Raw genomic sequence first — 17,559 nt, forward strand, 5'->3', positions numbered from 1 at the left:
GCTGGGCGCGGTGGCTCACGCCTGTAATCCCAGCACTTTGGGAGGCCGAGGCGGGCACATCACAAGGTCAGGAGATTGAGACCATCCTGGCTAACATGGTGAAACCCTGTCTCTACAAAAAAAAAAAAACACAAAAATTAGCCGGGCGTGGTGGTGGGCACCTGTAGTCCTAGCCACTCGGGAGGCTGAGGCAGGAGAATGGCGTGAACCCAAGGGACGGAGCTTGCAGTGAGCCGAGATCGCGCCACTGCACTCCAGCCTGGGCAACAGAGTGATACTCCGTCTCAAAAAAAAAAAAAAAAAAAAGTATAGCTACTCCTGCTCTATTCTGGTTTCCACTTGCATGGAGTAACTTTTTCTATCTCTTCACTTTCAGTCTGTGCATTTCTTCATAGGTGAAGTGTTTTCTGTAGACAGCATATAGTTGGGTCTTATTTTTAATCCATTTAGGCACTCTGTCTTTGAATTGGAGAATTTTATCCATTTATATGCAAGTTATTTTTGATAAGTAAGAGTTTACTGTGGCCATTTTGTTACTAGTTTTCTTTTTTCTTTCTTTTTTTTTTTTTTAGATTCCTTGTGCCTTTTTTTCCCCGTCTCACCATCTTCCTTAGCAGTTAAATGATTTTTTTTTCTAGTAGCACATTTTTTTATTCTGTGATATATATATTTTGTATATATTTAGTGTATCTATTATAGGTTTTTGCTTTGTAGTTACCATGAGGTTTATAAAAGACTTCTTTAGTTATAACAAGTTATTTTTAATTGTAAGTAAATAAAAAAAGGAACAAAACAAACTCTAAACTTTAACATCATCTCTCAGCCCATTTTGATTTACTGATGTTTCAATGTACATCTTTTCTTATTCCGTATCTCAAATGCTGGTGAGAATTCTGAGAAGGGGGAACACTAACACACTGTTGGTAAGAATGTAAATTAATACACCCACTAAGGAAAACAGTATAGAGGTTACTCAAAAAATGAACAATAGATATATCATATGATCCAGCTATCCCACTACTGGTTATTTATCCAAAGAAAGGAAATCAGCCTAGCAAAGAAATATCTGCACTATCATGATTTTGTAACACTATTCACAGTAGCCAAGATATGGAATCAGTCTGTATGCATCAATAGATGAATAAAGAGATAAAATGTGGTGTATATATACACAATGGGATACTATTCAGCCATAAAAAGGAACGAATCCCTGTCATTTAGAGCAATATGGATGTAACTGGGTCATAATGTTAAGTGAAATAAGCCAGGCACAGAAAGATGCTTATTGCATATTCTCACTTATATGTGGGAACTAAAAAAAGTTTATCTCACAAAGGTAGAGAGTAGAATGCCAGTCACCAGAGATTGGGGCAAGTAGGCAGGAGGGAGAGATGAAGAGAGATTGGTTAATAGGTACAAAAATACAATTAGGTAGAAGGAGTAAGTTCTAGTGTTCAGTAAGGTGACAACAATTAGCTGTAATTTATTATACATTTTGAAATAGCTAGAAGATTTGGAATGTTCCCAACATAAATGATAAATGTTTGATACATGATAAATATCCCAATACTCTTATTTGATTATTACACATTATTTACATGTATCAAAATATCACATGTACCCCAAAAATATGTACAATTATGTATCAATTTTTAAAAATAAAAAACTAAGTTTTTTTAAAAAGACAAACAATATTCAGAAATACTTTTCTACAGAAACTAAGAAAAAAAGAAAACTCTAATACCTGTACGGTAAGTCCTCACTTAATGTCATTGATAGGTTCTTGGACACTGTGACTTTAAGTGAAACAATGTATAACAAAACCAATTTTCAGTAAGCTCATTGATATGAACAAGAGTTAAGTTCCAAAGCTGCTTCTACATTTTCAGTATTTGTTATAGCAGCACTCCATTTCTCCAATACCAATTTTCTGTCTTAACCCATTTTGTGCTGCTAGAAAGGATGCCACAGACTGGCTAATTTATGATGAACAGAAATGTATTGGCTCATGGTTCTGGAGGGTGAGAAGTCCAAGATTGAGGGGCTGCTTCTTCTGAGGGCCTTCTTGCTCTGTCAAGCCATGGCAGAAGGGCAAAGAGTGGACAAGAAAAAGAGAGAAAGAGCAGGAGGGGGCCCAAACTCATTCTCTTATAGGTAACCCACTCCCACAATAACAAATCCACATAATTAATCCATTCACAAAGATGGTACCCTCATGATCTAAACACCTCTTAATAGTTTCACCTCCCTGTATGTCTGCATTGGGGATCAGGTTTCAAATGCACAAATTTTACCAGAAAAATCGAAGCTTAATTTTTTATATTTCTGGAATTAAAATAAATTACATTTTCCTTCCTCTACCCAAATTGAATATCTTGCAAACTTCTTGTTTTTCACACAACCCACTTTGAAGGACAAAAATATAATTTAATATGATGGTATTAAGGTATTATTTAAAAATAAAAGAGGCAAGATAGCTGAACATTTATGTACTCTAAGTAGAACTTTAAAAAATATCAGTGTATATCAGCGTGTATTCAATTATGATGTCATTAAAATGCCACAGGCAATATTTAAAAGGAGTTGTAGAACCTCATCCAACATTTTTGGGGTGGGTATTGGGTGCTCTGGGGATGAGAAAAAAAGAAGTGAATATCCTTTTATTAAATAATTGATTTCAAATCTCTTATTCTTTGTAAATGATATTAACTGGTATCCCATTAACACTTTAGTTCTATTGGAAGTTCTGCATTAATCTACAGCATTTTGAAATCTTTCTATGTGTGGGACCCATAATTGTATACAGATAAGAGATCCTTCAGCTGATTTACTGCTAATGATGACAGAATCTACTTCCACTCATGTATAACAGGAATTATATACTCCACTAACATTTTTATAGCTCTGCTAACATTTTCAAAAGGCTTATTTAGCAGTCCAAATGCATTTTATTTTCAAATCACTACACTAATGATAAGCAATCTATTATGGCTGAAGTTATGTCCTCCCACCCCCAACTCACATTGTTGGAGTCCTAACCTCCAGTGATTCAGAAGTGACCTTATTTGAAAATAGGGTCTTTACAAAGGTTATCAAATTAAAATTAGGTTATTAGGGTGGGCCCTGATCCAATATGACTCATGTCCCTAAAAGAGGAAATTTGTACACAGACATAGATAGAGGGAAGACAATGTGACAAGACTTAGGGAGATGAAAGCCATCCACAAAACCAAGCAGAGAGGCGTAGGACAGATCCTTTCCACACACTCCTCAGAAGGACTACCAACACCTTGATTTCAACTTCCAGCCTCTAGAACTGTGAGACAATAAATTTCTATTGTTTAAACCACTTAGTCTGTGACACTTGTTTATGGTAGTCCTAGCAAACTAATACACCATCTTAGAGTAAATTAAAGATCCCATATCTACTTCATGTTATCATCTTAACTGCAACCAGCCATGACCATGTTTATCTGCCTAGTTTGTTTTCTACTTTGTGTCTCTGAACAGTCCCTTTGATATTTTCTGGCATCATTTCATTCAACCTCTCTCTCTTGAACCATCACAGTGAGATCCTTGCTTCCAACCTTGTTTTACTACAATCCAATTCACATTCAAACACTTTAATGCGTTTAGTAATATATTTGGGTTTGAATCAACTATAAAACTATATGCTCTTTAATTTCCCCTAACTTTTCTTTAGCCCATTTCTCTCCTTCTTTGCCTTCTTTTGTTTTGCTTTTGTAAATATTGACCGTTTACACTTGGTCAGCTTATATTTTAACTTTTCTTATTTATCTAAGCAATTAAAATATTCATCATTAACTCATTAAAGTATATTGTAAATTAGTACTTGTCACTTCCAGAAAAGCAGACTGAGAATACTTTTACTAACCTCCCATCTTTTGTGCTTTCATTTTCATATACTCTTATAATACATTTATTTTAAATACCATATTTTTACTTTTTAGACAGCCAATATTTATTTATTTTAATTTAATATTTTGTGTTACTCTTCAATCCTCTCTGCTTCCAAATGGGTTCATTTTGATCTGCCTAAGTACTTCCCTTAATATTTTCATTATTGCAGGTTGGCTAGAGATGATCGATTCCTCTCAGTTCTTATTTCTCTGAAAATGTCTTTTTGCTGCCTTTATATTTGAAAGACATTTTTCTCGGTATAAAATTCTATGCTTGCAGTTTTTTTTCCATCACACATTGAAGACTAATTCCATTGTCTTTTGGCATCAACTGTTAGATTTTTTTTTTGGCAGTTTTACTACCATGATGTGTCTTGGAGTGGTTTTCTTTGCATGTTTTCTACTTGGTATTTGGGGTATTTCTTGAATTTATGGCTTGATGTCTTTCATGGACTGGAGAAAATTCTTGGTCATTATCTCTTCAAATATTGCTTCTTTCCCTCTCTTTCTCCTTTCTACTATTTTAATGACTTATATGTTAGATATTTTCACCATGTTCAGTATGATGCTTATGATCTCATCTGTATTTTCTACCCCTTGTCTCGCCATATTTTAATATGCATTTTTCCACTGAACTGTCTTCCAGTTCACAACACCTTTTTAAAATTAACAATGTCTAATGTGCTATTATTGCACACTCATTGTGTTCTTGATATCAGCTGCTATCTTTTCTAGTTCTAAATATTTCATTTTTGCCATAGTTTTCTGTTGTCTTCTGAAATTCTTCATGCTTTCAACTACTTTCTTGAACATATTAATTGCAGTCATTTTAAACCTCACCTCTGATAACTCTAATATCTGGATCTCTTAGATTCTGCTCCTGTTGGTTATTTGGTCTTTTCTTTTTCATGTATTGGGTCTTATATTCATAGGACTGCTTACTTTTTAATGGATTGCTGGACATTATGCAGAACACACTGTGAAATAATTTGCATCACTGGATGATGTACTCTTGAGGGAATTTACATTGATTCTGGCAGGCAGTGATATTCAAGGTAAGTAAACCTAACCCAATCTGGGGTTGAGCTGTTTCAAAACAGGGCTTCAGTATTTTTACAGGCTAATCTATTTCACTCTTAATCCTTTGGCCATCACAACTGAATATCTGTAGTGGCTACCAGGGCCCCTCATATTTGATGGGCCATAACCTTAGCTTTTATCATTTGACCTGCGTAAGAGTACTAGCAGCTCTGCTCATCTTCCCATCCTCTTAGTCCACTGCTTTCTGTTTGGATTCATACTAATTGTGAATTTACAAAAGCCTCAAAAAGTAAAGCAGTGTGGTATTTGAAGCTCACTGCTCTGGATTTCTTTCTCTTGGCATGTTGACCCCTTGAATCTTCACTGCCTTAATATTTCTCCAGTGCCTTCCAACATAGATCTAAAGATGTATTTCAGCTTTCCCTATGTTTGTTACAGTTGCTTAGAAAAAAAATATAACTGATTATACTCAGGACATTTCAAGTCCTCTCTTCTAGCTATTTTGAAATATGTAATACATTATTATAGTCAAGATACTCTGCTATTGAACATTAGAAATGAAGTGAAATGAAACTTCATTCATAGATAAAAGACATGGTATTTATATCTCTTATTTTATTCAAAATTCTAAACAATAACATGGTAAATTGTGGACTAATAATCAGATCTTGAGTGATTCCTCAGGAAAAATATTTATCTTCCTTATATCTGTGAGAACTAAAATTACTATTGTGAAAAGAAAAACACCACTCAAAAGTAGCTTAGATAATTGTTAAATTAGAGCCATTTTAGGATAGTAATTAAATTTCATAGAATGGTGGTCTAGAGGACTGAATTTTTATTTTGTTATCTATTAACTTTTTTACAAGCTTGTTGGTGCATAAAAAATGTTAGTAGTTTGCTCAGTATGCTTTATTACTAGTTTGCTCAGTATTACTAAGTGTTAAAGTATTTGTATTGTCTAGTTTGCTCAGTATTATTTATTACTAAGTGTTAAAATATTTGTATTGTCTTAAAGAATGATTTTTAGATATTGCCTCATATACACGCTTGGTGTGAAAGAATATATTAATTTCATGGTGTTTCAGAAGGTAAAACAAACCAAACACAAAAGGAAATGAGTAAGAGACAGTTTGATAATATATAGCTTGATAAATCTAAATAATCTAAAATAAGAAATAAGATACATTCTGAAGCTATCTCAAAGGCAATAAATTGTACCAGTATATTTTATTTTAAGATTCTCAGGCATTCTTCCTAACATTAAGTCCTCTTAAATTCATCTTCTACAGTTCTGTCAGATTAATCACCTAAAACTTCTAATCTTCTATTCAAATGGCTCCCAGTTTTCTAGTGAATAAACACTGTCTCCTCAGTTCCACATACAAATACATTCCTTTGTAACTTGATTCCCTATCTATATCTGTAACCCTCTCTCCTTCCAGTTTTCTCTAAAATCCCTGCATTCTAACTTCCTCCCAATTGTATACATTTCATAATGCTGTTGAGTCTTTCTGGATCACCTTTTCCTAACTTTCACCTGGAAACCTCTTATTTGTAAGCTGCAAGACATATATCGCCTTACTTAATTCTCCCAAGAGAAGTTAGCTCTCTCTTTAATTTCCATGGTACCTGACATAAATTAGAGTGATATAATTAGAATTTCTAATGTTTGTTAACTTTTCCTGTGTTGCAAAGTCAATGGTAAATGATTTACATAACAATTGCGGGACTTAAAATGTTGTCTTGTGATAGATTTATGTTTTCCACATCACTAGATTGTCATGAGTTTTTGTGCTATTTCCTTTGCACACTCAATGAGAAGACAGACAAATCCAGGGAGATAAAGACAGGCATATTAATTCCAGAATATATATGCCAAGATTTTTAATTTTTAAAACTCTGATAGGATTAAAAATTATATTTTCTGAAAAATTTAAATATGCACCTACTACATGACTCAGTCCAACTATTCTCCAAATAATTTGCACCATTTTACATTCCCCAGGATTGTTTGAGTGTTCTAATTGTTCTACATCCTTGCGAACACTTGGTATAGTCAGTCTTAATTACATCTATTATAATAGGTGTGTGGTGGTATTTGATTGTGGGTTTGATTTGCATTTTCCTAATGACTAATGGTTATGAGCGTCTTTCATGTGTTTATTTGCCATCTGTATGTCTTTATTGGTGAGGTGTCTGTTCAAATATTTTGCTCATTAAGGAAAAATTTTAAATTAAAAAATTTATTTTTCTAAGAAAACTTTCTACAGCGGACATTTATTTTTGAAAAAAAAAAAAAAAACCCAAGCAAGTGAAACACATAATCAACCCAGTTATGGCATATTTATGTGGTTGATGCAACAAAATATAGGAAATCTAGACTATCCCGAGCAGTTTGCCATGTATGATTATTGAAATTTAAAAGGGGAGTGAACTGGTTGGTTGAGCAGTTTCAAGTGATGTGCTTAAGATAGTTTATTGACATATGCTGAGATTGTTATTTTAAGAAAAACTATGCAACCAAACGTATAGATAGGAATTAGAAGTGTAAAACCATTTTAAAATTACGGATAAATAGCAGTATAGATGGCATAACTATGAATGGAAATGTTCAAAGGCAGACTTTGTTTATATATGCTGTAGATACTAGAAATGAAAACCCAAAGACACAGACCTTGCCTTTTATTCATCACTGGAGCTCAGAACCTAGAGTGAGACTTACAAAGAGAAAATTGCAAATGATCCAATAAGTACTATGATAAAGGCATACAAAAAAAAAATGAAAAGAAAAAGCAACGGGGATTATGGCCTACTAAACAATTCTGGGTGAGGCTTCCAAGCAGAGGCCATAGCAGAGGCTTGAACCCTTTTATGATATTGATTTTGTTTAATTATAAACTTATAAAAGCATTGAATATAATAGAAATATGGAATATATAGAAAGCATAAATAAAAAAATACAAATCACCCATGACTTACCTCCCAAAGATACGCATTAGTATTAGTTTTAAATATTTCATTGCATATATTTTTGCATCTGTTTTAAAGGATTGTGTTGTCATGGTGTGCATAATTATGCATCTTGTGTAAAAATTTAACTTTAAAATACAGAATAAACAAGTAAGAAACAAGAAAATATCAGACAGTAATACTTGTTATGCAGAGAATTAAATTGTGGTGATGTGACTGAAAGTCACTGAGTGGATTTTTAAATTGGGTGGTCAATGAAGGCTCTCTATGGAAGTTCTACGTAATCTTAGAATATATGGCAAGCACTGTAATTAGCTGCAGGAAGCTGCAGGAAAAAACAGGTGAATATCAGTGCAAGCTATGGAAACAGTGGTGTACAGATCTCCGGACAGGATCAAACTCAGCATGTTTGAGGAACAGGAACAAAAGACAGCGTAACTGAATTGTAGTGGCAGGTTCAAGAGTAATAGGAGATGAGACAAGATCACGCATGACCTGGTAGTCACGCGTACGGAGTTTTGTAAATGGGCGAGGCTACAAGGGGAATACTTCCTTAGCCCTCATAGTAGCACAGGTGAGGGGTAATGCTGGCTCCACCTGCTGTAGCTACAGCTGAGACAGACGTAGAGTGGTAAGTTCAGGGGTCATTTTAATAGCAGGGACTTCAAGATTTACTGATGTTTAGATCTAAGAGAATTAACAAGAAGGAGGGATCTTGGGTGACACTTAGATTTTGATGTAGAAAAACCAGTCATGTGCCACATAATATTTCAATCAACAATGGACCACATAGATGACAGTGGTCTTATGAGTATAATGGAGCTGAAAAATTCCCATTGCCTATAGATGTCATAGCTGTTGTAACATCATAGCACAATACATTACTCACATATTTGTGCTGATGCCAGTGTTATTACTGAAGAAAGAAAAATTGAAAAATAAATTTAGTGTAGCCTAAGTGTACAATGTTTATAAAGCCCTAAAGTAGTGCACAGTAATGTCCTAGGCCTTCACATTTACTCACCAATCATTAACTGACTCACCCAGAGCAACTTCCAGACTTGCAGGCTCCATTCATGGCAAATGCCATGTATAGGTGTACCCTTGTTTTATCTTTTATACAGTATTTTTACTATACCTTTTCTATATTTAGATATGTTTAAATACACACACACACACACACTTACCATTGTGTTACAACTGTCTACAGCATGAAGTACAGTCATGTGCTGTATAGGTTTATAGCCTAGGAGCATAGTTTAGTTTATAGCATATAGGCTGGTGTGTAGTAGGCTATCCCATCTAGGTTTATGTAAGTACACTCTATGATGTTTGCACAACAATGAAATTGCCTAATGCTGCACCTCTCAGAATGTATTCCTGTCATTAAGTGATGCATGAGTGTACACGGATGATGGCTTAGTGTGATTTACTCATCCTGGCATGTCTCAGACTTTCCCAGTTTCAGCACTGAAAGAGCTGTGTCCTGGGAAAACCCTTAGTCCTAGGCAAATAGGGACAGCTGTTCAAACTAAATATGACTTAATGTGAAGTAGGTGTTATTGTTGTGGGTGGGAGGAAAAAGAACCAACAGTCATATTTCGTTTTTTTGGTATTTTGAAGTATGAGATGCCTTTACACATCAGAGTTGAAGGAGGAACATTAATGGGACAGAAATAAGTATCATTTTAAATATTAGAAAAGAATCATGGAGGGAATAATCCAGTTCAAATATCTTGTATTTCAGTTGTTCTGTATTGCTGAAAACATTGCATAATCATGATCTGCTTAAGAAATTCAGACGCATATTGTTAGCTTATGGATGTTGATTATTGTAACAATTAGACTGCTTCCTAAATAGAATAGTCACGTGGTTGAATTGTTATTGAATTACTCAAAATATTTCTGTTTAAACCAAGTGACAATGGTATCAGATTCTGATTATCAGAAGTACTGATTCAGTGAAAAAAGTTATGTATGTTTATTTGCATAAAACATTACATATTCATTAAATGTCAACATGTTCAAAAATCCCTCTTACTTATAGCTACTTTTCCTCTAAATTCCATATGGTTTGTCCTCAACGTTTCCTGATCTTTTCCTTCACAAAGTCTTCAAGTACTTTAGATGTCAGTTTAAGTAGTTTATCCCAAAGGTAGAAAACTGAAGCAAGGCCTGCTCTATGTTTAGTTTTAACCACTGATTAAGTACTCTAAATGTGAAAGAGGTATGGGAAAGGGACAGGAATTTTGTGATAGCAAAATTCTAAGAGAAAATTTTGCCTTATGGTACCTTGTTACATTGGCATTTTGCTTATTGAACAGGGAAACAAAATTATGGGAAGTAGTTGGAAGCTTTAGAGTCAGAGGATACAGATGAACATTCTGTCTGAATTGCCATATACACATGCATTTGTATTTAAGAACTTCTGGCCAGGTGCAGTGGCTCACGCCTGTAATCCTAGCACTTTGGGAGGCCGAGGTGGGTGGATCACCTGAGATCAGGAGTTCAAGACCAGCCTGGCCAACATGGTGAAACCCCTTCTCTACTAAAAATACAAAAATTAGCCAGGCGGGGTGGCGGGTGCCTGCAGTCCCAGCTACGTGGGAGGCTGAGGCAGGGAGAATTGCTTGAACCCAGGAGGTGGAGGTTGCAGTGAGCCGAGATTGCGCCACTGCACTCCAGCCTGGGAGACAGAGCAAGACTCTGTCTCAAAAATAACTTCAGTCAATTCTATGTATATAATCATTCAGTCTTCTGTATGTAGATCCTTAGTAGACAAACTCATTCATTTTATTTTCAAATACTTATTGATAATTTTATTCATAAGCATTCTCCTCATTGGTATAAATAGAGGAATTCTAAAAATTTCCCAAGCCCAAAATATTTCCTCCCCTCTAGTCCTACAGTTGAACTTACGATTTTCACATGGTTATATACTTGGATTCTTTTAGTATAGTCACTGAAGACTTTTAAAAACAGAAATACTGGGCCGGGTGCGGTGGCTCATGCCTGTAATCCCAGCACTTTGGGAGGCCAAGATGGGTGGATCACTAGGTTAGGAGTTCAAGACCAGCCTGGGAAACAGTGAGATCCTGTCTCTACAAAAAATACAGAAATTAGCTGGGTGTAGTGGTGCCTATACCTGTAGTCCCAGCTACTTAGGAGGATTGCTTGAGCACAGGAATTCCAGGTTGCAGTGAGCTATGATTGTGTCACTGCACTCCACCCTGGCTGACAGAGTAAGACCCTGTCTCCAAAAATAAATAAATAAAATTAAAAAATGAAATACTAGTGTGGACACATTAATGAGCAATCATTAGCATATTATTTAAAATTATTTATCAGCTTATCTACAAGGACTTGAATAATCAATACATAGAACAGGCATCCTTTTGATTAGAGATGGAAATCAGAAGGTACAATTTCATAATGAGCTTGATCCCTAGGGAAATAAGAGCTTGAATATCCTATTACAGTGGAGACTGCTAGTCACTGAAAACAGTAGGAAAGCAACAACTTTTACCAGGACATACCTGCTTATGAAAAGACAAATAATGTGGAGAGTGCCTCAGGATCATATGTTGAAGGCATGCTATTTACCTCCTAATTTCTTTTCCAAAGTGTGATATTAGCATATATTGATGTAGCTCCCTTAGGTCCTGATCAAAACAAAGATAGGGCAATAGTAATAAGGTAAGATGGGGAGAACAGATATGCTGTTAGTGTAACAATATATTGATGTTATATCATTAAATTATCATTTTACCAGGAAAACAATTTATGATTTGTTTTCATTATACCATTTCATTCATCCCTGCCTGCTACACTCAGAATCTGAAGCCCCTTACCTTAATGTGTGTGATGAGATTGACAGGAAAAGGAAGCTGGACTTGTGAGGATGGAAGGGATCTGAGAAGACCGGAAGAACAATGGTGAAGTAAAGTAGAAAAAGTGAGAACACTGGGTGGTCCAGTCTGATGGAGATTCATCTGGATGGTAGGAAAAGGAAGAGTTTGGGAAAATTAAGTAAATAGTGGTTCTGGGCTATCTATGGGCTTAATCATTAAATTTCCTAAGAAGTTTGCTTTCATGCAATTGCAGCTCTTTCCGTATCTATCTTGATCTTTATCTCAATATCTATCTATGGCAGATCTTAAAAAATATGTTGTCCAATGTTTTCATTTTAGAGATGAGAAAATTGAGGTTCGGGGAATTTAAGGGACCTGCTAATGATTAATAGTTAAATTTACATATTTTAAAAACTGGTATTTTTTCCTTCTATGCCACAGGGTTTTGGTTATTATCTTTCCGCAAGTTAGCTACAAGAGAAGAGACCAGCTTTCTGGTAAAGCTGAAATCACTGAAAAAAAAAATCTCATATAAATCTCTAGCTTGCAATATACTTGGAAAGATTATTTTGGACTAGATAACCTCCCAAATTAACATTATCCTCGTCCTCATCAACAAAGAATGAAGATTTAGGAAAATTGCTTAGAGTATTTAATAAAATAGCTTGTTTCAGACAAAGATACTTAAGGGACCTTTTTCTAGAGAGAAAAAAATCTGAAATTATACAGAACGATTTTATATAACAGGAAATGAGACGATGAGACTCATTCTGTCCTTCTCAGTGCCTAGTCCAATGACTTAGATTTGTGATTTGTGTGAGCCTAGGAGCAGGGTAGGTACTCTGTATCTACTGATTGATTGGCTGTTCCATTTTAAAGGGATAAGCCATTTGAATTCCCAGAGTTAATAAAAGCCAACTCAATGACATGACAGCGCCTCAGAAGTGAGAACATTATAAGTAAGGTTCATGTTCCATTTAATGTTGTTTTTAATGGAGCAACAACAAACGTTTCTTTTATTGAGGAGATTTGCTTACATTTTGTCTAGCAGAAACAAAATGGGTCAAGCATATGATAAAGTTAAATAAGATAATTGTGAAAAGGGGGAAAATAAGCAACAACTGGAAAGTATATACTAAAATATTTAATTGACCAAGATTGGAAATAAAAAGTGAGCATACGGACATTTTATGCTAGGAAATGAAAACAAGGCATTTAAAAAAGATTGTGTTAAAGATATTTGATCAAAAAACAAACAAACATATGTATACACATACCAACATCTTCTGAAAAGAAAGAAAAAAAAAAGCTCACTTCGGTTCCCTAGGAGTCAACTCTAGTCTGGTACTTGTTCACATGAACTTAAATCTAGGGTAAAAAGATTGTTTTTCGTTGCTGAAGTCAATTTGGCAAATTTGTAGTTTTGATATAAGTCAGATTTGCAGTTCACTCCTGGAAATGGATTGTGCAATGGCCATACTATGTGTTCCTGCTGAATGACACAAAGCCACTTAGAATTATTTGAGGGCTGAGGTTAACCAATTATTGGGTTTACTTCTGCTGCTGCTCTGCCTTTGACCAGAGAAGCAGGGGAGAAAATGTCTAGTCAAGAGTGATAACTGAGACAAATACCTACCTTAGTCGTCTCTCACCTTCTCAGAGTACTTTATTTATTTTGGCCTGTGTTACAAATTTGGTACTTAATTTATATGTAACTGGGCATTTTATATTTAAATATCTCCTTCAAAAGACGGAAACTACTTGAAGGCAAGGACTTTGTGTCAGGTTTCTTGTCACCCCCCTACACTTATCACACAGTCAGAGATTCCACCAGCTGGTCCTTTGTTCATTGTCAGTGAAATTAAAACTCAGTGACACAGAGGTAATAACATCTCCCCTGACGTTTGCACAGCATAACTGAGATACAATTTGTCTTTTATATTATCTAGTATCATGGACATTAGTAACAATCCAGAAATATTTCACATTTTGTGAATTTAAAACATTTAAATGATTTGAGGCTAACAGCTCCAATTTAGAAGCAGAAAACTAAATCTTAAATTGTCTGAGTTGGTACTCACAGAAAAGTAATGCTAACTTTCCTCTCAGAAACCAAATAATGTTTAGGTCACAAGAGATCATTTTAAAAAGTGATAAACCAGTGGTTGTTGAAAAGGGCCACGGAATGATGTCATGATTCATTTTTTTCACAGCAAAATGTGAAGACAAGCCTTCAGTTCCCTTCTTGACCACCAGCATGGAACTAAACAATTAAACCTGTCAGAAAAAAAAAAGCTGCTGTATTTTAAGGTACAGTTTCATGCATTGTTTTACTTTCTCTCTGGCTACTTATAGGAGCTTGAAAAAATAAAAAGGCCAGGAAATATGTACCCTGGGAGCCAAACTCAAACTGCAAACTCAGCTTCCAATTCTCTCAATGAGCCTGGGGTTTAGCTTGAGTGACAGTGGAATCCCCAGCCAGCCAATTAGAGCATGGTTGAATTGGAGTAAGGCTGAGAGATGCAAGAAACAAAGTCATGCTAGAATGTACAGGTGGGTGAGGAGTACTGGGAAGTGCACTGCAGCTGGCAGAAGTGATTAGGCTTGATTTAAATTGAGTTTCCTAACACTGGTACTAGAGCAAGGAACAGCCGGATTTACATGGAATGGATGGGCTTTTTTCTGAACAGTAGCTGCCATAAAAGCAGAGTTAGAAATGAGCATGATGCAAACCACTGGGAAGGGCTCATTAGCCACATTTCACTTTTATGACACTCTAAATGGCATTCCATATATATTTTGCATGGGTTTCTTGCAATCTGAAATCAGCATTTCTGTGAGTGGTGAATGTGCCTTTTTATAATGGATATGAGAGTTTATTTTTAAGGCAGTTAATAGTTTTGAGAATTTGTGCAGTTTATAATAACTAAATATCAGTTCTAAAACCTTGGATGTTGTATTTTTTTAAACAAAATTGGCTATTGTTTTCATGATTTTTCTTCTATGGTTTATAAAATCAGAGATGGCTCATACAAGGGAATTCTCTTCTTGGGCAAACAGAAAAATATTTGTAATCTGTATTACAAGTACTAATTATGTGAGCAGATATTTTATGATTGTTTATTTAAGTAGTTCAAATTCCTGTCTTTCTATCTTACAATGCACATGGCCCCTTTGCTTCCTATAAGCAACCCTTTTCAGGCGGCATGTGGAAAGTGTGACTTTTCTTCTCTCAAATGTTTGTCTTATAGGTCTCTAATAAATTAAACTGTTTTCACTTATCTGATAAAGATACTATTTTTTTGCAGGAAATTATTATTTACTGTTCTCTTTAGAGATCTCAATGGCAATATTCTATATCAATAGGAGTTGTGATTAACTGAAAAGCATTGCACCCAACAAACACACATTGTTTACATAGATTGTAATGTAGTTTCTATATTTGAGAACATAAACTGTTATTTTAAAGCCTCTCTTGCTAGCAAGTTTTAAAATAATTTCTTAAAAAACAAGAGATTCAAGTAGTCAAAAAATTGGTACTAAACAACTGTTGCTTTTCTTCTTTGAAAGAGACATGTAATTGAACTTTTCCTATCATCATGATTAATACGGTAACACTGTAGATTTTTCATTCATTCCTTGTTGTCAACAGCTGAGAAATAAAGTGAAGATATGACAGCTATATAGGCATTTGTTTTATACAACTGATAGAAGAAATTGTACAGAAACTCAAACAAACAACGGCTGCAAAAAGTAGAAGAAAACCCAAAACTATGACATTGCTATGGTTTGAGTGTTTGTGCTCTTCTGAATTTTATATTGAAACTTAATTACCATTGTGGTGGTATTAAGAGGTGGACCATTTGGGGAAGTAGTTATGAGGGCTCTGCCTTCATGAATGGGATTAGTGTCCTTACCATGGAGGCTCCAGCTTCTTGGCCCTTCTATTTCTTCTGTCATGTGTGAAGACAGTGTTTATTCCTTATGTCTTTTCCACCATGTGAGAATGCCTCAACAAAGGGCCATCTATAGAATAGCCCTTGTCAGATGTCAAATACGCTGCCACCATTATCTTGGACTTCCCAGGCCTCCAAAACTATAACAAATAAATTTGTATTACTTATAAATTACCTAGTCTATGGTATTTTGCCATTGCACCAAAAACAGACCAAGACTGGCATGTATCATTTTAATTATTTAATCAATTGTGTACTATTAGTGTTTACAAAAACTATTCTAATACCAAAATAATACATAAACAATATTTGGTGTGTGATATGGTTTGGCTGTGTCCCCACCCAGACCTCATCTTGAATTCCCACATATTGTGGTAGGGACCCGGTGAAAGGTAATTGAATCATGGGGGCAGGTCTTTCCCATGCTGTTCTCGAAATAGTGAATAAGACTCACAAGATTTGATGGTTATAAAAAGGGGAGTTCCCCTGCACAAGTGCTCCTCTCTTTGCCTGCTGCTATCCATGTAAGACATGACTTGCTCCTCCTTGCCTTCTGCCATGATTGTGAGGCTTCCCCAGCCACGTGGATCTGTAAGTCCAATTAAACCTCTTTCTTTTGTAAATTGCCCAGTCTCGGGTATGTCTTTATTGGCAGCATGAAAACAGACTAATACAGTGTGTATATGTTATAGATAAATAGAAGTTTGAGTTCTGACTTCTGAAATAAATAGTTCTCAAACTGAGTTAGGCTATCAGAGTCTCACAAGATAGACAAAATTAATGAGAGTTTTAAAATATACCTCAACTTCTTTTTTCTAGCCTAATTTCTATACTTTAATTAATCTGTAATTTACATATATTGAACAAAAAGAGACATCCAGAATCTACTTCATTTAAATAAACATTGCAGTTGCTGCTAAATCCACATGCATCTTTTTTCTTTCTTGTTTCAACTTTTAGGTACATACTTACCCTTTAATTCTATATTTAAGGTAACAGAGACATGGACTTTTTAAGGTAACAGAGACATGGACTTGAGAAGACAACTTGGCTCAATTCCTAGCTCTGCAACTTACTTACTAGGTTTGTGTCTTTGGGTAAGTTAATTAATGTGATTTTGCCTCAGTTTATAACTCATCTAAAAATTGAGAATACAGACTCTTTTGGGTTATTATAAAAATTAAACGACATAAAGTAATTACAATACTGCTAACACTATGTTAGCACTTAACAAATGTTTACTACCATGAATTCAGGCCTAGAATTTAAGTGTAGCATCACCTAACAACCCACAAATATATCAATGAAGTTACAGTGAAAAAAGTGCCTAATACTGAAAAGTATACTGTTAAGCTATTAAGAGAATATAAGAGGGGTTACCACTAACTAAACCTTCTTAAGAATTGCATTTAATATCTCAATATGATTTCCATATAACTGAGAATTTCCACACCAAGTTATTTAACTGAGAAAAATTATATATATATACACACAAAAACTTATATAGTACTGTTCATATAATCTTTATCTCTGCTATGGTATGAATTTTTGTCTCCTTCATAATTCATGTTGAAACTTAATCCCTAATGTGGCATTATCAAGGTGGGGGGTGGCTTTAAGAGGTGATTGGGTCAAGAGGACTCTGCCCTCATAAATGACTTAATCTCATGCATGGATTAATGGGTTATCACTGGAGTGGGACCGGTGGCTTTACAAGAAAAGGAACAGAGAGTTGAGCTAGCACATTAGCATGGTCAGTCCCCTTGCCATGTGATGCCCTGTGACAACTTGGGACTCTGCACAGAGTCCCCACCAGCA

At 35.1% G+C, this 17,559-nt stretch overlaps 1 long non-coding RNA gene across 2 annotated transcripts in view; it reads left to right on the plus strand.

Moving 5' to 3' along the window:
- The window catches only part of LOC107985707 (uncharacterized), a 63,493-nt gene that overhangs the window by 45,219 nt on the left and 715 nt on the right, over window positions 1-17,559 (plus strand). The window contains exons 1-3 of one of the 2 annotated variants that reach the window (XR_001755820.1): window positions 11,773-11,933; window positions 13,999-14,095; window positions 16,734-16,838. This is a non-coding gene — a long non-coding RNA (uncharacterized LOC107985707). Of the gene's footprint in view, window positions 1-11,772; window positions 11,934-13,998; window positions 14,096-16,733; window positions 16,839-17,559 lie in introns of those variants that run through there. The other variant, XR_001755821.2, reaches the window with a different exon arrangement.

Source organism: Homo sapiens, chromosome X (assembly GCF_000001405.40).
Source record: "Homo sapiens chromosome X, GRCh38.p14 Primary Assembly".
Lineage (NCBI taxonomy): Eukaryota > Metazoa > Chordata > Mammalia > Primates > Hominidae > Homo > Homo sapiens.